Here is a 27,551-nt window from a genome sequence, read left to right on the forward strand (position 1 = left end):
AATTCTAGCCCAGCAGGAACAGAAGATATTGTGAGTCTTGGGTTTTTCTTATTTTCAAAGCATCAAGTGCAAAAACAAACAAATAAACACTTGGATTCAAGGGCTAGGCAGGATGGGATGGGAGTGGGGGGATGGAGAACTTCAGCATCAGCTTCAGTGCTGGAAGCTTGAGTGCTACTCTAGTTACTGCAGCTCTGTACCAATTTACCCAGAGTTTAGTGCTGTAAAACAACCATTTATTATGCTCATGGATTGTGTGGGTGGGAAGTTCGGACAGGGTACAGCGGGACAGCTATTCCTCAGTTGGAAGTCTTGAGGGCTGGGAGCTCAAATCATCGGAAGGCACATTCACTCAGGTCAGTGGCTGACACTGGTGGTCGGCTGGGAGGCCTCGGTTTCTCTCCACGTAGGTTTCTCCAGGTGATCTCTCCAGGTGGGCTTGTTAGGGCTTCCTCCTGGTACAGCAGCTGTGTTCAGAGGACAGGTGTCCTGAGCTATCAAGCCAGGGGGATGTTGTAGCACTCTTTTGGACTGTCCTCAGAAACTGCTCTGGTCACTTCAGCTGCTTTCTAGTTTTCAGAAGCTGGTCGTTAAGGCTAGTAGAGGGCAGGACCCAATTCAACCCCATTTTTTAGAGATGAGGTCTCGCTATGTTGCCCAGGCTGGTCTTGAACTCCCAGGCTCAAGCAATCCATCCACCTTGGCCTCTCAAAGAGCTGGAATTACAGATGTGAAGCACTGCCCCTCCCCCAACCCCATCTGTTATGAAAGGAGGGTCCTTTGACCACAAGTGCCCTGAGAAGTCAGGAGGACTTCCCAGTCTCAGACATTTTTATCTGAGCTGGAGATGGGGACAGCCTCCCACACACAGGACTTGGAAGGCTATGAAGGAAGTAGGGGGCTCTCTTGGGAGGTCATTTCCCTTGGTAGGGACGGTTGTGTGAATGAACTTGGCCTTTAGGGAGAGGAGCCCGACTCTCACCTGAAGCCACCCAACCTGTGCAGATGGCTGAGGAAGCCCTGGACACCACAGGACCGCTAACCCAGGATCTTTGTTGACTTTGCTCCCAGGCCACTGCCCCACACGCAGGCTCTGAACTCCTGGGAGAGGTAGGGAGCCAGCCCGAGGCGTGAGTCAAGAGTGTAAAGTACACCGAGTTCCTTGGCAAGCAGGCTCTTCAAGGGGAAGGTGTCACTCGGGGAACAATGAGAAATGTGTCTTTCCCTCAGCCCCTGATAGAAAAGATAACACCCCTTGAGCACAGCCTTTTCTCATCTGTTCTTGCTCTTGGATGGGGGGCTGCTACTCCGGAGCGGCGAACTGGCGGGCGGGGGTGCGCCTGTGAGTGTGAGCGCGCGTGTGCGTGTGTGCGCGCGCTCTCGTGGCCTTCCGGCAGCTGGCAGCTGTCCCGGCCCCCACCCCACCCTACCCCACCCCACCCAGCCGCGCCACGCCACGCCGCCCCCGCCCCTCGCTGTCCTGGGTGCGCCTCGGGCCGCTGCGCTCCTGGCCAGCTCCCCCCAGCGCCTGGGAGGCGACCCCCAGTGCGCCCGGGTTCAAAGGCCCGGCGAGGCAGTTCCAGCCCCTCTGGGGGGCGGGGAGGCGACGGGGGTGGTGCAGAAGCCAGAAAAGCCCGAGCCACAGCCGGCCAGCTCCGCGCAGGGATGGGCAGCGCGCTCTGAAAGTTTATGACCGCCGCAGCCAACTCCTGGCCGGAGCTGGAGACGCAGCGAGCGATCGGCCGGCCTCGAACCCCCACAGCTGGAGGGCGAGGCCAGCTGTACCCGGCCCCAGTGCCCTTTCGCGGCCACAAGCGGCCGTCCTCCTGGTCCGGTGCTCCGGCGCCTGATCTAGGTTCATGGAGCCGGGGCTGTGGCTCCTTTTCGGGCTCACAGTGACCTCCGCCGCAGGTAAGCGCACGGGGCGGCGCGCCTCTCCTGGCGCGAGCGCACACAAAAGGACCCAGGGCGGGGGACCCGAGGCGCGGAGAAGATGTGCGTCGCGGGGAGCAAACTCTTGCCTGGGCTCTGCACTCGTGAAGACGCCTGGGGGAGGGCTGGGGAGCAGAAGCGGCGCGCAACGACTACCCGCACGGGCTCCGGGAGTTGCAGCCCGCGCACTGGCTGGAGACCTGCTGCCTGGGCCGACTTGGTCAATTTTTCATGAAACTGGGGACTTTTCAGAAAGTTTGCGAACTATTCAGAGGCTGTGCCAAACCCTGGCAAAGTTTGCAGAAAGTATGCAAAATGCATGCAAGTTTTCAACGGGTGCAGATAGCTTGCAAGCTTTTCACAGAGTGTGCAGATAGCTTGGAAACTTTTCAGAAACTGCGCAGAGCTTTGGAAACTTTGCAGACATTTTGCTTGCTCCACCCCCCTCCTCAGGTGTTTGGGGGTGGCGGGTGTTGAGGGGTCTGCACACTCAGCTTAGGAGCCCCTCAATCTGCCTTCTGCAGGATTCGTGCCTTGCTCCCAGTCTGGGGATGCTGGCAGGCGCGGCGTGTCCCAGGCCCCCACTGCAGCCAGATCTGAGGGGGACTGTGAAGAGACTGTGGCTGGCCCTGGCGAGGAGACTGTGGCTGGCCCTGGCGAGGGGACTGTGGCCCCGACAGCACTGCAGGGTCCAAGCCCTGGAAGCCCTGGGCAGGAGCAGGCGGCCGAGGGGGCCCCTGAGCACCACCGATCCAGGCGCTGCACGTGCTTCACCTACAAGGACAAGGAGTGTGTCTACTATTGCCACCTGGACATCATTTGGATCAACACTCCCGAGTAAGTCAGCCTTTTGTGGTGAGGAACGTGGCTCCCGGACCAGGCCCACATCTGCTCATTCCCAGGAGGACCTCACTCCACCCCAGCCCCGCTCAGTTAGCCCAGAGCCTGCCCTGGCACAGCCTTTAGCTCTTGCTGGGGCCTCTTGCCAGCCCAGGTCTCTTCTGCAGGTCAGGGGTGTGACCCACATCCCCCCTGAGGGCCTGGCCCAAGAGAAACTCAATCCTGAGTTTGATCCTGTGGAAGGAGGAGCCCTCCCTCTGAATGAAGTGAACTGACCAGGGGGATTAGATACCTGAGATGTCTCTCTGAGCCTCTTTTCTGAGATAGAGAAAGCCCCGAAAGTTTATCTCATTCCCCAGGGGCCAAGGGGGCTCATACTCACTGTTGACCCCACCAGGATCCAAGGGGTTTAAAATTCCTTGAAAGCATCCTGGTCTCCAGGGAGTCTAAGGGTGGGTTTAGCTGAGCCTGACAGAACCTGCACAGTCCACTCGGGGTAGAATTCCCCTGGGATGGGCTCCCTTCCTTCCTGTGGGCCCCCCTGGATGCCAAGGCAGGGTGAATTCACATCAGCTCGTCCTTGGGCCTTCCACAGGCTGGCTCCAGTCACCCACTGCCATGGTCACAGAGGGCCTTCCCTTCTCTCCTGCAGTCCTTAGAAACTCTCTTACCCTAGGGCCTAGACAGCACCATCCTGAATTTGTCTTGGGGTTCGTCCAGTGGGGAAGTCAGCCTTCTCCTGGGGCCATGTGGAGAGAGTGTGGCTCTGACAGGGGGAGGCTTTGATGACTCCCAGTGTTCAGGGAACCCCTCCTGCAGGCACATCATCTTGCAGGCCATACAGAGGGCTTGACCTTGCCTGGGTCACCAACTCTCTGGCATTGGCTTCCCCATCTCTAAGATCTGGGACTTGGATCAGACACCTCTAAGTTCTGTTCCCTGGGTGTTCATGGGATCTCTTGGGACTCTTGCTTGTACCCTATTAGGGATTCTTAGCTGAGAACTCAGAGATGGTTGTGAATGCAAGCCCCTGGAAGCCTGGAAAGGCACCTTTGCCACCGTGTCCCGGAGCCGTCTTGATTCAGGTTCCTCACGGTCACCTTTATCCCCAAGCCCCATAACCTCTGAGCCCTTGGTAGCAGCTTTCATGGGGCTCACTTACCTACCTTGTGTCATCGGCACCTCAAAAATGAAGTGCAGACGAGGGTAGTAAACCTGAGGGGTGGAATGTCTTTCAGACCAGGGGACAAGACCTCTAATCACATCCATGATAGATCTGGAACATCACCCCACCATGCTTGAAGGGCAGGCAGGGGCTTCACATTGAGCCAGCAGGACACGTGCACAAAGTCCTGCACTCAGAAAGACTCTGGCTCGGCTTAAAGTCCTGCTGTCACTGTCTTGAAATCCTTAATACTTTCTGAACAAAGAGCTGCACATTTGCATTTTCTCCTGGGTCCCATAAATTCTGTAGCTGGTCGTGATACCCTGATTTGCTGGCTGGGCTGTGTCCACCTAGAGGATGGGAGGTGCCTCCCTGTTTCTTTCCCTTTGTGGGGAAGATAGAAGCTGTGAGTGTTGGGCCATCATCAATTGCCTCTTATCCTCAGATAGCGAGGGGAGTCACCTTTCCTTGTAGCCCCTGCACCTTGGCACTGCCCTTTCTGATTCTTATCCTGCATCATTGTGCTCTGATCAAATTCACTTCATAGAATGGAGGGCACTGGGCAGTCACCAGGAACCGAGTTCTTGTCTTGGCCAGAATCCCCAGCTGTGAATCTAGAAGGAGAAAGAAGAAAGCTAATGGAATTACAGACAGGAACCTGGGGTGGTGGGCAGGTGGGAGAGGATTTGGAAACCATCTCTTTCATTCGTTGCCTGTTTACCAAACCCCGGAGCACTGGCTGGGGAGGAAGTGATGACTTGAGACATGTCTGAGAGTCTCAACCAACACCCTGTGATCTGTTTAAAATTCTGTCTCATGCATCCTGCGATCTGTTTGAAGTCCTGTCTCATGATTTCGAGTTTGTCCTGAAATGAAGCTGTGGCTCTCTGACTTTTTCCAGGACAGCCAACTTGATAACTTTCCCCCTGAAGTGTGATTTACCTCTTCCCTTCCTTCCCGACACTGGTTCAATTTAAACATGATGAAAGAAGGATTAAATCTGGTGTTTGGGCATCCCCTGAGCTACTTGGGAAACAAAAACGACAATAGCCAGACTTGAGCATTTTGAAATTAGACAGGTAAAATAATTTTTATGAGGCAGAACTTCCCAAATGGCCTCCTTCCCTCCCTTCCTGCCTCCCTCCTTTCTTTCTTACCCTCCAAACTTCCTCCTGCCCTCCCTCCCTCTCCCCCTCCCTTCTTTCCCTCTTTCCTTTCCCTTCTTTTCCCTCCCTCCTTCCCTTCCTTCCTGAAACTCTGTAGATGTGTAGATAGGTCTGTTGTCATCTTTAAAATATCTCAGGCAAGACTGCAATTTGAGAAAATGGGCTGTGGTGACAGGGAACAGGAGTGATGGGGAGGAATCTAAAAAATCACTGAATTGAGCAAAAGAGGCACTGGAAGTGAGGGACACAGTCTTTTCTAGTGGTTCTGTCTCCCCATTAGATCACAACCCCACCTGTCACATGTTCCCCTCTCCTGCTGTCACGCCCTCTTCATTCATGGACTGGTCTCCCTCTCCAAACTTCTCCACCAGGTGTGATTTCTCCCTGTCCCAGCGGCAGCTGTTCTGGGCACGAGAAGGAGCCTTGATTCTTGTGCCTCAGTCAGGGGTCTTGAACTTTGGGTGCTTTTCACCTTTCAGAGCCTTTCCTCCCATGGCGCATCCAGCTGCGTGAAGACAGAATCAACACTCCTAGTTGATCTTTGATGGAAATTGCTCTGAGTACGGTCATTTTTGCTCCCTTCGAGGATCTGAGATGCTGCAGGAGTCATATTGGGAGTTACTACCGAGACCCGCTTTGCATCTCCTCAAGGGAAGTTAACTGTCTAGTTCAGGCTCAAGAGACTAGTTGGTCTCTTAAGTCTCTTTTGGAAAGAAGGTCTGAGATTCCTCGGCTGTCCCTTTAGCCCTCCTGCTTTTTTCCCCTCCTTAGTCCTTCCAGACCCGAGCTTGGTCGGCCCTTTCTGTTAGCACCCAGCATGGCATGGATGCTCAGGAAATGCTGGTTGACTTTTGGCTAAGTCCTGCCACCTGGGTACTCTGGCTCATCTTTGCTGTTGCTGAGCCCCTAAATCTCCAGTGCCTTCTCCCACACAGGAGGCCTCTTTCTCCAGGTGCCTGGCTGCTCTTCAGGGGCCTGCACATCCCTGTAGACAGGGGTGGGCAAGAGAGTTTTTCTTGGGGATGTTGCCCATAACTTCTGTGATATCTTCCCAAAAGTCCATCGCCCCAAAGAGGAACCAAATTTATACTTACCCTGTCAAGGCTGCTGGGATCACAGTTCATCAATGGGATAGCATGATTTCCATTAGCCTTTCCTTGGCTGTCCCCCACAGTCCCCAAGCCATCCCACCACTGCCAACAAAATCAAAGTCCCAAATCAGAGAAAAACATATCCCATCCTATTGTCATGGATAAGTTGCCAAGAATAAGATAGTAAGGGGACAGGTGGTGAACAAGGGGTCCGTGTGCTGATGTCCTTGTACACTGCGGCTGTCCTCTATGAGCAGACTGAAGAAACAGATACCAGGTAGCTGGGGCCTGTAGGAGTCAGGGTTCTCTAGAGAGACAGAACCAACAGGGTGTGTGCATGTCTGCAGATTATGCATATATCAGAAGTGCGGTTGCCAAAGGAAATATTTGGTTGCTCTTGGGGGCCATGGACTTTTATGGAGGATAAACAGAAGTTATGGGCAATGTCCCTCCAGAGATATATATATGGAGAGAGACAAAGAGCAATTTTCAGAATTTGGCTTACATGATTGTGGGGGCTGGCAGGCCAGAAATCTGCATGCCACCAGGCTGAAAATTCCCGAGGGAGTTGATGTCAAGGAGGTCTGGAAGCAGAATTCTTTTCTGTTCGGGAACCTGTCTTTTCTGTGAAGGCCCTCAACAGATTGGATGAGGCCCACTACATTTTGGAGGGTCAGCTGCTTTGCTCAAAGTCTACTGATTTAAATGTTAATCACATATCAAAAATACCTTCAGGGCAACATCTAGGCTGCTGTTTGACTAAACAACTGGGCACAGTATCCTAGCCAAGTTGACACCTAAAGTGACCCATAACGGGGATGTCAGCTCGAACCACATTTCATGGCGGACCAGCCCCTCAGAGCCTGGCTGAAGACTGAAAACCTGTTTATCCAATGGCTGACTGAGCTGTGAAGCACCCAGCAAAGAGCCCCACTGTGCTCCTCCCCGCCCCATGAGCTGAGGGATCCTGCCATCTGTTCATCCCTCTAAGGACATCTGAGGGAGGCATTGTGATGCTGGATGGTGACTGTGTTTTCCAAACCAAAATCTGACACACATGGGCTGGCAGATAGGAATGTAGTTATGAAAAGAACAGGGCAGGATGTTGGGAATCATGATCATGGTGGAAAATTTGGGATTTGCAGTCCCGACTTGTGGAGAAGACTCCAGAACCCAGAAGTGCTGCCCTTGAGTCCTGGCCATGACTATCTGTGTGGCCTTGAGCCAGGAGGTGCTGTTGCCTCTCTGTGACCCTCTGGAAGGTGCAGACATCAGCCGCTCCAGGACAGTGAGCTGCCAAGTCTCTCCTAATCCCAACAGTCTGATCAGCTCCTATCAAGATGCCCAGGCCGGCTTCCCAGGCTGCCCTGGATCAAGCCACACTAAACTTAATCCAGCAGGAATGCCATTTCTTTTGAGTTTTTTTCTCCCCTAAATGCATAAAGAGTAAAAAAAAAAAAAAAAAAAAAAAAGCATTAACAAAACATTTAAACTTGTATTTTAATGTATTCTACCACAAAAGGGCAGCATCACAGATTCTGGCTTTGCCTTCTGTGTTCTTCAAGAAAGGCATCTTGGCATGGTCTCAAGAAGAGATATTCCAAATTTTAGAACATCCCAATAGAACGGTTGGATCTGGAACCCCAACTTCCTGCACATGAGGAGCCAGCTGAGCACCAGAATGTGATTTTGGGATCCCGATAAAAGTCACCCTGGGCCAGGCGCGGTGGCTCACACCTATAAACCCAACACTTTGGGAGGCTGAGGTGGGCAGATCACTTGAAGTCAGGAGTTTGAGATGAGCCTGGCCAACATGGTGAAACCCCGTCTGTACTAAAAATACAAAAAATAGCCAGGCATGGTGGCATGTGCCTGTAGTCCCAGCTACTGGAGAGGCTGAAGCAGGAGAATCACTTGAACCCAGGAGGTGGAGGTTGCAGTGAGCAGAGATCACGCCACTGCACTCCAGCCTGGGTGACAGACCAAGATTCCATCTCAAAAAAACAAAAGTCACCCTGACCTGTGAGCCACACCTGGCAGTATCATTGTTGGACATGTGGCCATATGAGGCAGAGGGCCAGTCTTTCTGCCATCATGGTTTTGGAAAGGGGTCATGAATAGTCTGCTACTAATCATGGATGGTGAGGATGGCTGACCATGACTGTGACCTCATGTCATCTCATGGGATCAGCTTGACAGCCCCATTAGTTGGATGCTATTGTCCCTGTAGTTTACAGGAAGAAGCTGAGCCCAGGAGGCGGAGTCAGTTGGCCAAGGTTGCAGAGCTTGTGAGTAGGGACTGGGCTGCCAGCCCAGAAGTTTGGCCCTGAAGCCTGCCCTGTAAGCCTCCTCCTGTGTGCATGTTCCCAACATGGGCTTCTTAGGTGACTAATATGCCATCTTAGATGACTCCTGCTTTCGTTCATTTAATATGTTTTCCCAGAGTGCCTCACCTGGGTCAGTATTGAATGGGGCTCTGGGACCCAAGAATGAATAAAAGACATGGTTCCCCATCCGTGACTGATTAAGGGTGGTTTTGTTCTTTTTGAGACAGTGTCTCATTCTGTCGCCCAGGCTGAAGTGCAGTGATGCAATCATAGGTCACTGCAACTTTGAACTCCTGGGCTCAATCGAATCTCCCACCTCAGCCTCCCGAGTAGCTGGAACCACAGGTGCGTGTCACCATGCCTAGCTAATTTAGTAATTTTTTTTTTTTTTTGTAGAGATCGGGTCTTGTTACATTGTTAGGGCTGGGGTTTTGTTCTTTTTGATAGTGATGATTCATATATATAATTCTATGTAATCATATATTTACCCTTTTGCAAGATTATTTTTATTAACATATGTTAACACATGGGCAAAACCCAAATCCTTGGTCCATCACAAGTCCTAAATTTTATTCTGGAAATGTAGCCTTGGCTTGCATAGAAGCATGTGATTTTCCTTTAGCCTACCAGAGCCCTTGGTGGTTTCTCTGTGGGTAAGAGGGGCTGGTTGAGTGTGCACTCCAAGCAAACCAGAAGGTTTGTCCTGATGTCAGAGATGCTGGGACAGAGGGGGCTGAGTCTAGGCGAGAGGGCGAGGGACCCCCAGGCCATGAGTCTCATTCCTGGTGCAGGATTTTTCTTTTCTTGGCTGCTGCTCTGTGCCTTGTTCTGTCTTCTTGCTTCTTGGTGTGGTTACGGGAGCAGGGCAGACATAGGAGGTGGGACTGCTCAAATCCATCTCTTCTTGCAGATCCAGCTTCACACTTTGGTTTAGAGACTCCTGGGGTTTAGAGAGGAATGGGGCCTGGGGCCCACTCATCCAAATTGTCACGTGGAGGAGGAACAGATCCCTTTGTAGGGGTTAAGAGCTCAAACTGTGGGCTCGAATGCCTGGGCTGAAATCTGGATCTGCCACTTAGGAGATGTCACCTCTGAGACCTTCAGTGTCCCCATCTAGAGAGTGGGGGAATAGATAGCACTCTATGAGGAAAGATGTTTTCAGGATGACACAAGAAAGTACACAGGGCGTGGTTAGCACAGCGCCTACAATCTAGTAAACACTCAACGTCTTGAAGATGGTGGCCACAATGATAACAACACAACCTCCAGCCCTGCAGAAGCCCTTCCTGGGCCAAAACCAGTCCTCCTGCCATATCCAATCCTGTGATTGGAGGATGCTGGCTGGTGAGTAGAAAGTCCTTGCTCAAGTTCTGCTGGGGTCCACCTCTTTGGACCTTCTGACTCTGATCTTAGCTCCTGGAGTGCCCCGGAGCAAACCTGTCCACCCTGTCCCCTGCAGGACGGTCTGTTAGCCTCAATTAGCAGAAAGCTTACAGACTCTGGGAAAAGGTGTGCCTGGCTGTCTGCTGTTGCTGATAAGCAGCCTGATAAAGACTCTGTGGTCAAAGGTTGCTGGGCTGGGCTGAGATTCAGTCCCGCCCTTCCAGCCCCTCCTTTCTGCTTTCTATTGCTTCCCTCTCCCCTTGGTAAATCACTGAAAGTTTTCAGTAATGGGGCATGGCGCTCTTTGCGGGCACCCGTCTGGGGCTGTGTCTGTGAAATAGGAGGTAGGGGTGGTGATTGGGGTGATTAGGGTCTCAGTTCAGGAGAACAGGAATGATCTGTTTACCTCTTTGTTAAACACCTATGCTGAGAGCTCTGTGAGGCATCTGTGGCTCTCATGTCCTTGGTACGTCCAGCAGAGTAGATATAATGCCTTGTAATTTGCAGCTGAGGACCCCATGGGGCACCAGTAGCCTCACTTCTGACTTCACCCAGCATTGCCCAGGACCTGAAGTGGGTGTCACCAACTGGGAGTCACCAGGAAGCAATCGAGGAAATCCCACAGACATCTATTTAGAAAACATCATTTCATGATGTGCTTTTGAGACGGGCATGTGAAAGAAGAGGGTGTTGGCCAGATTAAAAGGGACCCTGAGCTTGAGGTTCTGACTGATCATGGTTTCAGGAGGTTTTTCCCCTCACATAACCATTTCTATCTCTTCCTTAGAAATTAGCACACTTTTGGGTACCAGTTTTGAGTTGGAGTGGCATATTTCTTAGAACACTGGACGGCAAGATACTTCTTTAAAATTGGGGAGACTTAGGGCTAAGTTTCGCAGTTTGTTGGAAAGGTCAGTCCTACGAGGACTTTTCTGTTGGGGATGCACAGGTAGAAAGCCCGTTTTCTGCCCCAGAGTCAGCAGGAAGTGTGAGTGGTCCAGGAACAAAAACAGACTTGGTGGAATGCAACTAATCTCCACTTGGGAGACAGAGGGACTTGAGGCTGGAAGGCAGTTTGATTTGTAGCAAGAAAACTTGGTACAAAGAGGTTGTGACCCTGTGTGACCCCGAGGGAGAATTTGGATTTGTGCTAGATGAAAGGGCCATTACAGTGAGGAACTTGGCCTTCAATCTGAAGGCACATGAAAGGCTCTGATGTGTCTGGTCATGTTTGTTCCTGCAAGAATTTAAAACAAAGGAAGCTGGGAGGCAAACAATGCTTCTGCTTTATAATTCCAGTTCCAAACCTCAGAGGGGGAGCTGTAAAGGGTGACCCTGTCTACGGCACCACCCCGCGTTCCAGTGTATTGGAAGTGGATGGTCTCTGTTTTGCATGAGAAAGTGACCTGGTCTCCTTCCTTGTCATGTTTCAGTTGAAACAGAGTTCCTCAAAATTGGAAATGCACACACACATACACACAGACTTTTGCCCACTTTGGAATAGAAATTAATTGCACTCGGAAAATAAATTGCAGAGCATGGCTGAGTACAGACAGCCACATGTGAATGAATTGTTTGTCCGCATAGTTTTGGGGGCTTCGGAATCCTGGCTCACCCACCAAACCTCCCAAGAATAGACAGACAGGATGAGGCATCAGCTCTCTTTCTCATCTGCCCCACCTCAGAGTCTTAGGAGGGCCAAGAGCTTTGGGAGACCTTGGGGACATTCACAGGCTTGGAAGCACTGGCCTCTTCTTCTTTTGTGGCCTCCTCAGGGCAGACTTGGTGGGAGCTCTTAATAAACAGTAACTCAGGAACAGAACAGTCAGGGAGGCCTGGTCCCTGGCCCAGTAATTGAAAAACCAGAAACAGCTTCATTTCATATGCATTGATGACAAAAGTACCGACAGACGCAACCAAAAACATGACTGGCCCGCTGGTGGACAGTTTCGCCCCACAACTTGGGGAGCGCAAATTGCTTTGCCGAGAGTCAGAAGCAACTACATGAGACAGCAGAGGTCCATGTAACTTTTCTGGATTTTTAGGAATCTGATTTCCATGGGTCTCTTGCAGGGCTGAGAATAGACTGGGGTGAGTGAGGCACTCCCTCATGTACAAACTTTCAGGAGGCACCAGAAAGTAGGAAAAAACAAGTAAAATGTAATGCACTATTTTCAGAAAGCCAAAATGAGTGCAAAAAAAAATTCATAATCGACCAAATATTGTTTTTAGTAAAGGCAGGATCCAGCCCTGAGCTTGCTCCACTTACCTCACCTGCCTCACCCTAATCCCAGCCCTGGCATCTTGCTTGAGGATAAAGCCTGTGTCTCTAATAGAGACTCAGTAGTTTGAGGTAAGTGATAAATCTATTGGAGCTATTACTGGAAAGGGGTCCCGATCCAGACCCCAAGAGAGGGTTCTTGCACCTCGAGCAAGAAAGAATTCAAGGCAAGTCCATAGAGTAAAGCGAAAGCAAATGTATTAGAGAAGTAAAGAAACAAAAGAATGGCTGCTCCATAGAGCAGTGGTATGGGCTGCTTGATTGAGTATACTTACAGTTATTTTTCGATCCTATGCTAAACAAGGGGTGGGTTATTCATGAATTCCTGGAACTGAGGTTCCCCCTTCCTAGACCATATAGGGTGACTTCCTGATGTTGCCATGGCATTTGTAAACTGTCATGGCGCTGGTGGGAGTGTCTTTTAGTGGCTAATGCATTATAATTAGCATATAATGAGCAGTGAGGACAACAGAAGGTCACTTGGGTTGCCATCTTGGTTTTGGTGGATTTTGGCCATGTTTTTTTTTTTTTTCCACGTCCTGTTTTATTAGTGGGAGTCTTTGTGAGCAATGTCTTGTGTGGACCTCCCGTCTCATCCAATGAGTAAGAATGCCTCACCTTCTGGCAATGCAGCCTCATTCTACCCAGCCCCTATTCAAGATAGAGTTGCTCTGGTTCGAACACCTCTGACAGAGCTACCAAAAGGGCATTACACAAGGACACAGACAATTAGGTTAGGTGGAAGATGAGCGTATCTTTACGGTCATTGTGATGGTAAGCATAAGTCTTGCTCATGAAGATCTTTTCCATCCTTAACCTGGTATCTCCTGAAAATTAGCAAGAGTGTCTTCTCTTGCTTTCTTTAAATTATTCAAAGCATGTATCATGGTGTCGGCATTTTTTTTAATCCCTTTGCACATAACCCCATCCTTATGAAAATACTTGCTCCCTGTTTTCCCTCTTCTCTTTCCACTGCTGGGAACTATTTTGAGCCCTGTCTGTCTGCAGCTTTGCATAAAGTTATAATGAGGCTGGGCCAGGCAGCCATGGATTTCTCATGCCTACATTCGGCCTGGAATTCAGAAGGGTCACTGGGGGCTGGGGAGAGAAACTCTAGCCTAACTCGTTTGATGCATTTTGGTTGTACCAGATGGAGGGAAACTGCTAATCTGTAGGATTCCATAGACGGCTTAATTCCCCAAGTTTTGGAGGAGTTTGTTTCTCTAATTTTTTTTTTAGCCATAAGTCTTGAAAATCCTGCACCACATAACAAAAACCAGAGGTATTTTTCTGTTGTTCTCCTTTCCTTTGACCCCCTGGTGCTTCCTCCAAGTATCCTTAAGTGTGCAGGTGCCTGTGTTAGGGGAGGAATAGGTCTATGGTCCAATGAGCTGATGAGATGATAAATGCTGCGACTTTGAGATTCTTTTTAATCTCAGCCTTATGGTAATAGGCCATGGAAGAGTGTAAACAGTTTGGGCTAAGGCTTTCTAAATACAGTTGATGAGATCCTGGGAACCACTTATCTTGGGTGGAGTGGAGCACCTCACTTTGAGTTTGGTGTTAGCGCTGGGGCAAAGGTCTAAGGCCTTCTCCAGTGATTGTGCTATTTAAGGATGTTCAAGGGATGGTGAGGGCCTTTGGAAACATCTGAGTGGAGTTTGGAGCCAGAGGGACCCTGGAGAGACCCAGCCAGCCCTTTTGTTTCTCAGGGCCAGAAGGAAGGTGCCCACCTTTCCTGTGAATGAGTCATCCTTGGGACTAGAAGCCTGGGTCTTCCAGCTTAGTAAAGCCTCTGTTTTGCTCTGGTACCTTACCCATCTACGCAGCCTAGTTTGTCCACCAAGGTGCTGATGTGGCCTGCAGGAGTTATTGCCAAGACATAATTCTTCCACTTCAAGTAATCTAGAGGCCACAAGTAATCTAGAAGGTTTTCTAGGAAAACCCCTCAAAGACCAGCTGATGAAGGACAAAATAAGTAGAGATCCATTGAGTCAGCCAAGAATGTCATATGTTTGGGACACTGGGTAGGGCTGTGCAGTGATGGCTCATTTGGACCCTATTCATTCATTCGTTTAACAGGTATTTATTATTGAGATATTGGGACTTGATTTTGAGCCAGACATGGTGTCAGCTGCCCTGGATGGAGAGGTGAATGGGGCAGACACAACCAGTGGCTCCGGCTGGACAAGGTCCTGCTGTTGCTGAGCCAGGGGGTTGTGCCTGGGCCAGACACCATCTCTTAAATGAAACGAAGGAACTGGCCCTCATTCTTAGATCTGATTGGTAGGGGATAATGCTCAGTATTCTTTTTGAAAATGTATGTGATACTGTTAAAATTCTCAAACAGCCAAGTCCTGGGTAAATCCAAAGGTTTTTTGAGGGGGAAAGGAGGGGGATAGAGTAATTTTTTAAAAAGGCAACAATTAACCCACAGCACATTGCTCACTGCTTTTGGTATTTCCAAATATTCTAGAATCATGGGCTCTTTCTGAGGGCTGCGGGAGATGGACTTCCCACCTTGTGGGGTGGTGGGATGAACGGTCTGCCTTGGGTCCTCCCAACTTTAAGCCGTGAGAATTTTCTGCAGCAGAAGGAAAGCTATGAATTGCCGGTTCACTGTTCTGATGTTTAGGAAGCATAAGCTTTGTATAATATTCTTTAGAACCAGAAAGCGCCTGTGTGTGTTCTCTGCTTATATAATGAGGTCACTGAGGAGCTATGTTTCCTGGCCTATTTTCTTTCCTGGAAGTTGGAAGGGCACCCCATGGGCTGTCTGGCATAAGGCCTGGCCCACAGCAGACTTTCATAAGCATTTGATGAGCGGGCAAGGAATAAGTTCAGTAGAGGACGAAACTTCTGAGGTGGTCAAATGAGCGTCCGGGGGTGGGCTCTGAGCCTCCTGGGAAGGAAGGGATGGCATGCCTGCCTCCACCTGCTGAAGGACAGACAGTGGGCAGCGGGCACACCTGGGGGAAAGGAGGGGCATAGCCTGCTTCCACCTGTGGAGGACAGACATTTCACAGTGCACACACTTGGGGGAAAGGACTCCAGCCAGCTTACTGTGCTGGGTTTGTCCTGATTCTGAACATGCTTTTCTGTGTGTTGTCGCAGTGAAGAAAATTTTTCCTTGTCCTCAACAGCTGGGGAGACTACAAGCCTTCCTCTTATACCCAAGAGTCTGTGGTTGCCATCTCATGAAAGTGAGGTCCAGGATCAGCCAGAGTTCACTGGTCACAAGCAACAGAAACCTAGTCTAGCTGGCAAAGCACAGGAGGAGTTTATTGGAAGGACACGGGAAAGCTCACAGACTGGAGGCAAGAAGAAGCCCTAGGCTCTGAAAGGAGAGGTGTTAGGACAGGATTGGGGGTCTAGGGGTGCACCAAATGGACAAGGAGGGGCGGGGCTGCTTGGCAAATTGTAGCTCCAGAGTGTTTTCTGATCTCGAGTTGCCCCTCTTAGGAGTCTTGGGAGAGAGTGGGTCCTATTGGCCCAGTTTAGGTCTCCTGACCAGTCCTCAGGCAGTGGTAGGTGAGGCCCATCAATTGACTGCCCCCCAGAGACCTCACACAATGGAAGGCGGATAATTCTCCAAAGAGAAGGTGGCAGACTGGATCCTAGGAGACAAAAATAACCAATGCTGGCCTCGGGCTCCAGAGAATTCCCTGCTTCTCAGTCCTTGGAGTGCAGGTGCTCCTGTTCCTGGTCCTATCCCTCCCCTTTGTCTCCATGTGTTGTGCGTAGCAGTGTCTGCTGGATGTTTGCTGAAGCAAAGGGTCACTTTCATGGGCCTTTGAATAGTCAGCCACTTCCACACCAGAGATTGCATATGTAGGTGTGCTGGAGGGCATTTTGTTTTTTCTAAGGGTATTTGGATTAATCTTTCTATTTCACCCTGTCTTAGTCATTAGAGCCACGTTCTGACTGGTTCAGATTACAGATGGTAAATAAAGGTGATTGACATTTTCCTCCCTGCCCAGGCAGACATTTCTAAGCTTGGGAGAGTTGATGAGTGGTGCCTTCTAGGGAATGTAATAAAGTCTGAAATTGAGCTGTAGTTAGAAAGCATGCGAGGGTCTAGAAGTTGTTTCTCCAGGGAATGGCAGGAGGTAGTATCCAATGACTGCTGGTGCCTGGCAGCTGGGGGCTGCCTCCTGACTGTCTGCCAGTGGGAAACAGTTGTTTCTCCTCCTCTTGGCCACAGGACAAGTCACAGAGCCATGCTTTCTGTACAATATGTCCCCTGGGCCAAAAGGCAATATTGCCTCTGCTTTCCCAGTTCAGAAGGAAAAATGTGAACCGAGGAAGCAGATCATCAACTTGACATGTATCCTAAGTGTGACATGAACATGTTCTATTTGTTGGGGAGACACTCAAGTCACCAGCTGGGCTTTTTAAATGAAAACAACACCTCTATTTAAATGAAACAACGCCTCTATCTGTAAAGAGGAAAATAGTATCAGGTACTCATTTTGTTCATGTGTCATCTGACCTATCTGCCTTCGCTTTATGGAATAAACCACTAGACTAGGAGTTGTAAACTCAGATGCTCCTGAGGGCCAGACACATAAAAAAGATGAGCGAAGGGGGCCAGGTATAAAACTACTGAAAATGGTGGGGACTGGGGCAGAATGGAGGGTTTACGCCCAGTCTCTGAGATCATTACCCGGCTGCCATGCTGGAATATGAGGTTGGTATTAGCACAACTTCCAATTCTTCAAGAAAAGCTGGAAATCGGGATGTTTATGTGAAATTTCCGGATTTAACAAAAAACACTATGGTTCACGCCTGTAATCCCAGCACTTTGGGAGGGTGAGGGGGTGGATCACGAGGTCAAACGACTGAGACCATTCTGGCCAACATGGTGAAACCCTGTCTCTACTAAAAATACAAAAAAATTAGCTGGGTGTGGTGGTGTGTGCCTGTAGTCCCAGCTGCTTGGGAGGGTGAGGCACGAGAATCGCTCAAACCCAGGAGGCGGAGGTTGCAGTGAGCCAAGATTGCGCCACTGCACTCCAGCCTGGCGACAGAGTGAGACTCTGTCTCAAAACGAAAACAAAAACAAAACACTGTTGACTGAAAAAAGCTGACAAAAATGCCAATTTGCTGACCTCAGTACTGGATTAAAAGTGTATGTGTGCAGGGCAGGGCCCCGCCCCTTGTCTGTCTTTACATAAGTTTTACCCGGAGTCTAGTCCAGCGCCTGCATGTTGAAAAGCAGTTGGCAAATATTTGTTGAATGCTATTCAGTTGTGGGGGGTGGAATAAAAACTGGGTTTTCAATAGGGAATGACAGTTTGATAAGCTTTCCTAAGAATTTAGAATCTGGTCAGTGGGAATATCTGTGTCTCTTCTTTAAACTTCAGATATACAGGCCAGTCTCCTGATCAGAAAGATGGAGAGTGTTAATTCATTCATGAAAAGGCAACACGGAACTTAAAAACAGAATCTTTAAAACAAAAGTCAGCTTTCCTTATTTAAAAACTTCTTGTAGAGAGAAATAAAGCGTTTTCAGTGTGGTGTTGCAGATGAAGAATGAATATGAGAGATTGGGGAATTTAATATTTAATAACACTTATACATGATGTTTGGGAAAACGTGACAAATAAGAAACATTTGATAAAAAAGACTCTGTTGTCACCACACCAATCAAATAATGAATGTTCTGAATACATAAGTTGAGTGATAATTTATTGGATGAACACACACAACACCAGAGATTGCGTATGTAAGTGTGCTGGAGGGCATTTTGTTTTTTCTAAGGATATTTGGATTAATCTTCTCACCTGCTTTTCTTTTGCATGGAGCTTTGTTTTATAACTGAGACATGAACAGATGGAAGAGCTGCCTACTTGTATAAAGGATTGTATTCTGAAAACCCCGTTGTATTATAGAGCGGTAGGCCCCAGCCACTGGGCAGGGCATGCTGGTCAAAGGTTCTCCGCCAATTTCACTTCACGTTCATGGTCCACCGTTAGGTCTTTCCTGTTCACTACTCAGTAAACAGCCAGCGATGAAGCAGGCCACAAATGAAATATGAATGCTCATGAGATATGAGTACGTTATCACTACTGAAATAGAAGTGCTCATGAGCTGGTAATCTGGCGTCAGAGCTCGGTGAGAAGGTGGTGTCGAATGAGGTGACCTGTGGCCTTGGGCTCCTTATTACCCTTCTTTATTGCTAAGTCAAACATCTCAAATGCCAAGCTTAGTAGGTGGGACTTTTCTGATACAACTCACTTGACCTCCCAGACCAGATAAATAACAATAGTAGCTACTGTTTGCTTATGGCACTTTGCTAAGTATTTTCCATGCAGTATCTCCTTTGCTTTGTCCAGCCACACTTTTGTCGACCAGGAAGTTGTTGAGAGGGTGAAGTGATCATCATGTAACATAAGAGCAGTATTACCAGGTCATGTGTCTCTGTGTGTACCTTGCACATACCTGTACCTACTGGCCTTTTTTCCTTTACCTGTTTTCGTAGTCCAACAGCATATAACTCCTGAAGGCATGGACACATAGGGATGTGCCTTTCTGTGTCCCTGTGACACTTACATTGATACCACGTATATAGTGGATGCTGAAGAATGTTGGAGATTCTTTCAGTGATTTTTGTGGTTATTGAACTCTTTAGGGTGAAAAGAATCCTGTCTCGCCAGACTAGAATGATCTCACCATGAATTACCAGTTGCTCAATCAATAATCTGTTCGCCTGGCCTTGTGTGAGGCCCATGGTGGGTAAAAAAGAAGTAAAAGACCTGCCCTCTCTTTTGAGGATCCAGTAATCTGCCTTTAGACTTGGGTAAGAAACACTGCAACTCTGGGCCCTGTGGGTTAGAGGACTGCCTCTGACGCCACTCTGGCCATGCCTCCCACCCCACTGTAAGAGTCTGGGACTCAAAGCCATATGCTCCCTCTTCAAGACCATGTTCCAGGTATTCAGGGGCTGGAATTCCCTACTCACGCATCCCCAAGACCACTTCCAGGGCCTGACACTTGGGGATGAGCAGGGCTCCAGGTACATATCTCCAGGCCTGCAGGGTGACAGCTGCTTACAGGATGTAGGGTGGAAGGAGCTTGGAGGAAGCAGCCTGGGGCATGCACGGGGAGTGCTTGAAGCCAGCGCTGGTGTGGGATGGCGCAGGATAGCAGAGAAGGTACTGGGCCTCCACCACATGTCGATACGGAGTGGCCAGGAGCCCAGGATTCTAAATTAAAAGCTGGACCTGCAAGGCAGCATTTGGAAGCCACATTTGTCCAGATACAGGAGATAACACTTTTTCGTTTCAGGGCTTATCAGATCGATTGAAACCTTTAAATGATTAGCCCTGTGGGAGGTGGGCCTCCATCGCGAACTCTCATTCCAGACTCTACAATGTCAGCGGCAGGCTCTGCTGGGCCGTCAGCTTCCCTCACCTCCGCACGGGTCGGTCAGCAGACTGCACACCCGGAAGGCCCAGGCCTTGGTGGAGGGGTTTCTGTGCCTCAAGGCTGTAGGGCAGGGGAGGGGGCCGTGCCTCTCTAAACTGCCAGAGCCTGTTTGCACACCAGCACTTTACCGCGCTTGGCGGCCGGGGAAGTGCTAAGCCTGTCTTCATTAACAAATACCATGTTGCCTTGTTTCCTTACTTAAAACACTTTGGAGTGTTTTGGCTCAAGTTGAGGGGCTCTACATGTGCAAATGCATAATCAGCTGACAGCAGTTTCAAAATTGCAGGTCTCACTATTGATGGAGAAATGGGAGCGTTGTTATTCCTTGTGTGTAATTTTCTCCAAGAAATGGGGGGATTGATTTAATGTCAACACTCAGAGATTTAATGTGGCCCTGTTACTGGAAAAATACACCTTTGCCAAACTCTGCCTCAAAACAATGTCTACATTGTCTTGCTGCACTCCCTACCCCCATTTCCCATTCCTGAGAAAAAACGGGCTTGAAGGAGGGTTCAGCTCAATACAGGGCTGGATCCTGCCCTCTGTCTCCGTTTCCTGAGCACAGATGGCTCATCAGCGGGGCCTGTCTCTGCCTGGAGGGATCCCACCACCTCTGTTTCTGAGGAACTTGGGTGGGAGGGAGTTAGTGGGGAGAACAAGAGTCAACGAACAGGGTGGGGTCAGTTTTAGGCTCTTGTGTTCAACCCAGCAGGGAGGCGGGGGCGGGGGACTCCCTCCAAGCCTTAGGTCACTATGGGGCTTCCTGGCCCAATTTGCCCTCACTGTCGCAAAAAGGCTTTATGGTGTGTGTTTCAAATGAAAAGAAATTCAATTTGATTTTATTTTGAAAATGCAGCGAGGGGCTGGGCATGGTGGCTCACACCTGTAATCCAGCACTTTGGGAGGCCGAGGCAGGCGGATCACAAGGTCAAGAGATGGAGACCATCCTGGCTAACACAGTGAAACCCTGTCTCTACTAAAAATACAAATAATAACAATAATAATAATTAGCCGGGCGTGGTGGCACATGCCTGTAGTCCCAGCTACTTGGGAGGCTAAGGCAGGAGAATTGCTTGAATCGGGGAGGCAGAGGTTGCAGTGAGCCGAGATCGTGCCATTGCACTCCAGCCTGGGCGACAAGAGCGAGACTCTGTCTCAAAAAAAAAAAAAAAAGAAAAAAAAGAAAAAAAGAAAAGAAAAGAAAAAAGAAAATGCAGAGGGGATGTCAGGACTCCCTTTGAAGTGGATAATTGGTACTACTCAGTGGGGTTCATGGAAACCAAGGTGGTTCATCTCTGGGGACTAGCAAGAAAACCAATGTTTATTGGAAAAGTGGCTTTGGCCACATGTTTCTTCTAGCTATTAGTAATTTGTTCCTCAAATCAAGCTAGTAAGTTAAGGATCTGCTTTCAACTTCTTCCCGCTGAACTGCCTGGCAGGCACCCCCTTTTTCTCTGGCAAGTGATGATTTGGATGTGCACACTCACTAGAACCAGCTTCCACGGGTTTTGCTCTGAACCACACCATCACACTCCTCCTGCCAACGCCAACCATAAACGAAATTGGTCAATGGTTTCAAGCCTTCTTCATCACGCGGCTCTTCTGAGGCTGGTTCCACTTTCAGCTGCATGGCCAGGCCCTCACCCGCCTCTCAGAGGTCACGGAGTGTTCCTTCTGATGTTTGTCTCTTTGAGGAAGCAACTTTCAAAGGCCGGGATGCATCTCTAATGACTGTAATTGCATTTCCCATCTTCTCATTAGCACAAACTGCTGTGCACATGGAAGAAATTCAGTCAGAAACCTCAGGTCTGGCCTCAGGCTGCGGGGTAGGCAGGTGATCTGATCAGGGCGAAGACCCAGACCAGCACGTAGGTTGCCCCACATGCCCTTGGCACAGGAAGAAAAGCCTCTGGAACAGGTGCTATGGTTGTCTTTAATTCTTTCTCGGCTTTCCATGGAATGAGGAGGAGGCCCAGATGGTACTTCCAGAGCCGAGGAGCAGAACCCGGCCCGGAGGAGCTAGGCCGGCCGTGGTTTGGTCTTGAAGAGAATGAAAGCCCACCCATGTTCACAGATCGCAGAGCCCCAGGGCGTTCAGGCCACACCTGCAGCTGGTGCCTTGGGTGAGGCTAAGGGGCTCACAAGTGCAGGCACACATGCCCAGACGCCTGCTGGGCTCCAAGAGTGCTGGCTGCTGCCCAGCTACCCAGACCCTCCATGTCCTTCCATGCCCTCAGCCCCAACTCTCTTCCTGGGGGTTGTGGAGGGCAGGGGGTGCACAGTTCACTCCAGAACCTTCCTAAGACCCAGAGCTGTAGTGGGGAGGGTTGTGAACACCAGTTTCTGAGACCTTTTCAGCCAGGCGGTGGTTCTCGCTCCACACCCTTGGGGGCCCCTGAGCAGGGAGGCCTGGGTGTGCTCACCTAACATTACCCTGTGCTTTGCAGACAGACGGTGCCCTATGGACTGTCCAACTACAGAGGAAGCTTCCGGGGCAAGAGGTCTGCGGGGCCACTTCCAGGGAATCTGCAGCTCTCACATCGGCCACACTTGCGCTGCGCTTGTGTGGGGAGATATGACAAGGCCTGCCTGCACTTTTGCACCCAAACTCTGGACGTCAGCAGGTATGACACCTCCTCCAGTTTCACTCATTTGCAGATATGCATCAACCCTCGGCAAGGCCAGGCCAGGGGCTTCTCAAAGGAGGGTGTAGGATAGTTCAGTCACATCCTGACCTACTGTCGTCCTGTGGGCCAGAGAAAGGAGGTGCTGAGCCCAGAAAAGACCCAGGTCCTCAGCATCAGGAGGGCAGGAGATGCAGCGTCCCCACCCCCTTGCTGCCTTTTGGAACAGAAGCTTCACAGTGGCCGTGGCTACATCTGGTTTCCAGACATATGTTTTTCTGGCCTGCACAGCACTTTGTGAAAATCTGAATAAGTTGCCAACACTTAAAAGATTGAAGAATTAACCCCTGCCAAATGCGTATTTTTAGCCTTCTCGAAAATAGCCCATGATAAGAGTGCAAAAGGCTTATTGGGAGGGGGGGGAACCCAGCACGTAGGACCATCTGGTCTCAGAGCCCCCCTTCTCTTTGGCCACCCTCAGCTGGAACTGAGTGGGGGCATCTCACGTTTGAGTAGGATGTGCAATATCCATTTACCTGTTACCAATTTATCTTACTTTGTAGCCCCTGGAGGCCCCCAAGTTTGAGACCCTGTGGTCTGTCCTGGCTGCCTTAGGGAAGCTTGCAAATCACGTTGAATGGAACCAACAGGCAGACTCCATGTTTGACCCAGGGGCTTTGAGCTGGTATTCACATAACAGGTATTCCTGTTAATGCTCCTTACTCCATCTTTTTCTTAACTTCGGGCCAAGATTCATGAACCCAGTGAGGCAGATTGGCCCTTTCAAAACCCTTCCTGGAGCAGGCGTAGGTGAGCTGCCCTGATGCACACAAAAGACACATAGGCAGGGGTGAGCTCCCAACACCCCAACAAGGCAGACGGTAGCGCTCAGGACCCCAGGATCTGCCGTCTGTGAAACCCAGTGTGAACTGCATGGTTTTTCCCCCCTTCTGGGCTTTTAAACATCCGATGAATAAGTGAGTGGTGAGTATATTCTGTACTTTGGTAGAAATCCACCCACCGAGTGCTCAGCCTTCAGAAACTGTGCCTGAGACGCAGTCCTTGGGGAACGCACTAATGTGCTCATTGGTGGGGAAGAGGAAGTCATAATTTGACACCGAAAAACCAGCCACAGGGAAAGGCAGGTTGATTGATTAAAACCAGCTCTCTCCCCACAGTAATTCAAGGACGGCAGAAAAAACAGACAAAGAAGAGGAAGGGAAGGTGAGAGGTGCCAACAGAGGCCTGTGTCAAAGGAGGTGAAGATGTGACGTGTCATTCCTTCGGGGGTGGGTGGAGGGTGTTTTGAGGGGATGGCATCTGGTCTGGTCCAGTGGGAACCCCAGATCTCATGGGATGCTGCACCCACAAGCAATGGTGCCTTTGGTGGACCGTTTCTGGGGGCAGAGCGGGCTGAAGCTGTGGACAGCTGCTGTCACTTGTCGGTCCCTGGCCACCCTGCTCTGTGTCCTGGGAGCCAGCCCTTGCATCCCTTGTAGCTCTGGGCAGTGATGTCCTGCCTGGATTTCACCTGGCCTGGACAAAGCTAGTCAACCACCGCTCTCAGAGGCCCTGTAGGCTGCTCTGCCCAGACCCACACTTCGCCTCTGCTTCCTTAGCAACATGTGGTCTTTCTCGTCAAAAAAATCATTTATTCTTTTCAGCAGCTGATTCTGGGCAGAGGTGAATTACAGCAGCTTGACAGCAGGGTCCCTTGGTTCTCCAGTTCATTGTATTATTTTTTTTAACCCACTTGTCTTTTTTGTATGAGAGATCCTGAGGGTTTCCTGCAGTCAAACTGGGTTTATTTGTCATTCTATCAATCAGAAGTCATTATTAATGACTCCGCAGCTCATCTGCAATGGGATGGTAATTTATGTTCATAATAATAGCCTGGAGGTGGCTTGGGTTTCTACAGAGACTGATCGAGGGAAGATGAAACCATGCTCAGTATACAGGAGCTTTCCAAATTGGTGGCAGATCGCTTCTAGTCTAGTCCAGAGAGGGATCTGTCAGCAACCATAATAAAAATGGAGCGGGAGGAGGAGGGCCGAGGCGGAAGAGACAGAGCCCGGGAGAGCATGAGTCAGACCCAGATGGTCCCACTTTGCCTCTTCATTCTTTTTCCTCTTTTTCTCTTCCTCACCCCAAACCAAAGCTCCTCTCAGCGAGGGCGGGATGTAATTAAACCCATCCATCCATTGCATCATTTATTCATTCGCTTATGCATTCGTTCAGCAAAGACTTGTTGGGCACCTGCTACGGGCTGGGCACCATTCTCGATGCTGGGGACATAGCAGGAACAAGGCATAGGATCTCTTTTATAGAGCTTAACTAGTGGGGATGCAGACAGCAAACATGTACAATTTAAAGTGAGATTGCAAAGAATAACAGAAAGACACGGCAAGGGTAGGAAGCGTGGGGTGGTTGCAGTTTGAGATGGGGTTGACGTGGCCTCATCTTTCTCACCAGGTGACCTGAAGGAAGGCTGGGAGGAGCCATAGGGATGAGTGAGGGAAAGGGATTTCAGGTAGGGGAACCGGTGAGTGCAAACGCCCTAGAGTGTGCTCAGGGAACGGCCAGAAGGGAGCCCTATATAGGAGAAGCACACCGGTCCTTTTGCTGTTGTGGTGATTATTACTGTTCTATGTCACATGTTCAAAAGATGCAATTGGTGGTGCAGATGTCCCAGCAGGGCCTGGAAAAGTGGTTCTTCCAGGTCTCTATGAGTCATGTAAAGCTCTAGTAAGAAGCTTTACTTGGGAAGAAAAAGTCTCTTATTAAGCCAATGTTCTTGCTTTCTTGCAAGATTCAAGTTAGTAATTCCCAGATTCACATTCTCAGAGTGGAAGCTGTCACCATCCTTAGCTTGTGGTAATCAAAGATGGGGCCAGGCTGCGGGAGGGCCCCTAGCAGCCTTGTCTGCTGGTGTTATTCTTTTCACACTTTTCCAGTCTGGTGGTAGGCTCGGAAATTGCTGAGAAGCACTGGGAAGAGGGTACATACAGTTCCAATCAGGGAACAGGCTGGAGAGGCAGTGGGAAGACGTTCCCTTTTTCAGCTTCACAGAACTACAGAGCTACACTTTCATAACATACCTTTCTTTTTTTTTCTTTTGCCCCCTTTCCCCAAGACAGGTTGAAGTCAAGGACCAACAAAGCAAGCAGGCTTTAGACCTCCACCATCCAAAGCTCATGCCCGGCAGTGGACTCGCCCTCGCTCCATCTACCTGCCCCCGCTGCCTCTTTCAGGAAGGAGCCCCTTAGGAGGACAGGCCTGCAGCATCCTGGTCTCGGGAGGCTTCTGTCATTGCTCACACACAGTTCAGATTTCCACCTCTTTATAGACAAGAAGTGAATTTGCCTGGGGCAGAACACCCACCCAAAGAGTCCCCACTTAACAATACCCCCCCCCCACGGCAAGAATGCCCAAATCCGAATGACCCCAGTTTTCCTAATGAGTAAAATGATCCCAGATGTGCCCCAGAGCATGACGCCTGCAGCTCCGGTTTCATGCAGGAAATTGGTTTTGGAGAGTTTTGGCAAGTTGGAAAGCCACTTACTGGCTTTTGACATGACTTCTCTTGGAGAATAAGTGGACTCCAAGCTAACTCTTTGCAAATGTAAACACATGTCCATCTTGTAATAAATGCAAAATGCCCGTGCAGCAGAAGCATGCGACTTTCATATCCTTGCCTAGAATAGGCTGCATGGTGTATGTCAGTGAGGGCCACGAGGCGTCGGCTTTAGACACAGATCATAGCTCTACAGGAGTTTATGAATTTGAAGCTTATGGGATTTTGGCAGAGAAATTTTCAGCTGTGCTTGATACCCACCAAAAGAATGTATCTCGAAAGAATGAAGGAAGAAGAAAAAAGGATCCTTGATGTTTGTGACAAGAAAATGAGAAAGTTAGTATCTGCAATACAGAGCTTGTTCCTGTTCAGTGACTGACCCTCTGTATTCTGTATAGACACCAGGCCGATACACAGTGGAGTTCCCAGGCCTTGTTTGCAGGAAGCCGACTGTAAAGACAGCCCCAGCTCAAGGCTATTAGGTTGAATATTTGCTTTCATGAGTAAATGTGGATCTTTGGGGAATGGCTTCAAAATAAGTCACGAACACAAATTCTTTGTAAATTATGTAAATTCCTGTTTATATAAATTGGCAACAACTTATACCGTCTGACAGTTCAAAATCTCTTTCAGCTGCGCTCTTCCCACCGAGCCGAGCTTACTGTGAGTGTGGAGATGTTATCCCACCATGTAAAGTCGCCTGCGCAGGGGAGGGCTGCCCATCTCCCCAACCCAGTCACAGAGAGATAGGAAACGGCATTTGAGTGGGTGTCCAGGGCCCCGTAGAGAGACATTTAAGATGGTGTATGACAGAGCATTGGCCTTGACCAAATGTTAAATCCTCTGTGTGTATTTCATAAGTTATTACAGGTATAAAAGTGATGACCTATCATGAGGAAATGAAAGTGGCTGATTTGCTGGTAGGATTTTGTACAGTTTAGAGAAGCGATTATTTATTGTGAAACTGTTCTCCACTCCAACTCCTTTATGTGGATCTGTTCAAAGTAGTCACTGTATATACGTATAGAGAGGTAGATAGGTAGGTAGATTTTAAATTGCATTCTGAATACAAACTCATACTCCTTAGAGCTTGAATTACATTTTTAAAATGCATATGTGCTGTTTGGCACCGTGGCAAGATGGTATCAGAGAGAAACCCATCAATTGCTCAAATACTCAGAAAGTACTGTCAAAAGCCTAATAAAAAACCTAAAGTTTGCTCTGATTTGTGGGTTTTTTTCCTCACTGTCTTTATGTGCGGGGTTGCGCATCAACTTTTCATGGACCTCTGGAGAGGACGGGAAGAAGTTGTGGTTTGGGAAGTGGAATCCATCTAAAGTCAGTTATGGAGCTAGATGAGGGGCTGCCTGAATATTAAGGAAGAAGTGGGGTTTGGGGACCGTTCCAAGAAGATAAAACATTCACAGCAGTCAGGAAGAGAGAAACCTGGGGAGAGAGCTGGTTCTTCCCCTAGGCCATTGTGCCTTCCTAGCAATAGGGAGGCTTCCTTGTGGCCCTGCCAAAGATGCCTGTGCAGCCCAGGATTCTAGGGAGAGGGCACTGCTGGGGGGCTCAGGATTCTATGGAGAGCACTGCTGGAGGGCTCAGGATTCCAGGGAGAGGGCACTGCTGGGGGGCTCAGGATTCTACGGAGAGCACTGCTGGAGGGCTGAGGATTCTAGGGAGAGCACTGCTGGGGGGCTCAGGATTCTAGAGAGAGGGCACTGCTGGGGGGCT

At 49.6% G+C, this 27,551-nt stretch overlaps 1 protein-coding gene across 10 annotated transcripts, besides 2 other annotated features; it reads left to right on the forward strand.

Moving 5' to 3' along the window:
• Positions 1,658–27,039, forward strand: EDN3 (endothelin 3). 10 transcript variants are annotated; one of them, XR_936513.3, is made up of 6 exons: positions 1,658–1,911; positions 2,457–2,769; positions 22,064–22,240; positions 23,419–23,499; positions 24,713–24,770; positions 25,378–27,039. XR_936513.3 is itself a non-coding variant. In XM_011528655.3 (5 exons), the coding sequence occupies exons 1-5, from the start codon at positions 1,860–1,862 to the stop codon at positions 25,504–25,506; spliced, it is 735 nt and encodes a 244-aa protein (XP_011526957.1). In that variant the 5' UTR covers positions 1,658–1,859; the 3' UTR covers positions 25,507–27,039. The 10 variants fall into 10 exon arrangements, 9 of the variants coding, with proteins under 9 accessions (XP_011526957.1, NP_001411290.1, NP_001411292.1 ...); XM_011528655.3 differs by lacking the exon at positions 24,713–24,770 and having other exon boundaries at positions 23,405–23,464; positions 25,374–27,039; NM_001424361.1 differs by lacking the exon at positions 24,713–24,770 and having other exon boundaries at positions 23,405–23,464.
• Positions 18,996–19,496: an enhancer, noted in NCBI's record as "H3K4me1 hESC enhancer chr20:57893004-57893504 (GRCh37/hg19 assembly coordinates)". NCBI's record gives its function as "activates a minimal SCP1, AML or CMV promoter by ChIP-STARR-seq in primed H9 embryonic stem cells {active_cell/tissue: H9 hESC(primed)}" and the evidence as "EXISTENCE:reporter gene assay evidence [ECO:0000049][PMID:30033119]".
• Positions 20,041–20,335: a silencer, noted in NCBI's record as "tiled region #9189; K562 Repressive non-DNase unmatched - State 22:ReprW". NCBI's record gives its function as "represses a minimal TATA promoter and a strong SV40 promoter by Sharpr-MPRA in K562 cells {active_cell/tissue: K562}" and the evidence as "EXISTENCE:reporter gene assay evidence [ECO:0000049][PMID:27701403]".

Source organism: Homo sapiens, chromosome 20 (assembly GCF_000001405.40).
Source record: "Homo sapiens chromosome 20, GRCh38.p14 Primary Assembly".
NCBI classification, from domain to species: Eukaryota; Metazoa; Chordata; class Mammalia; order Primates; family Hominidae; genus Homo; species Homo sapiens.

Excerpts from the sequence above, each read along its gene's own strand:
- EDN3 (NM_001424362.1), top strand. The coding sequence starts at position 1,860 with ATGGAGCCGGGGCTGTGGCTCCTTTTCGGGCTCACAGTGACCTCCGCC. Across the intron at positions 1,912-2,456 it reads CACAGTGACCTCCGCCGCAG|GATTCGTGCCTTGCTCCCAG; the intron begins GTAAGCGCACGG and ends TGCCTTCTGCAG. Across the intron at positions 22,241-23,418 it reads CAAACTCTGGACGTCAGCAG|TAATTCAAGGACGGCAGAAA; the intron begins GTATGACACCTC and ends CTCTCCCCACAG.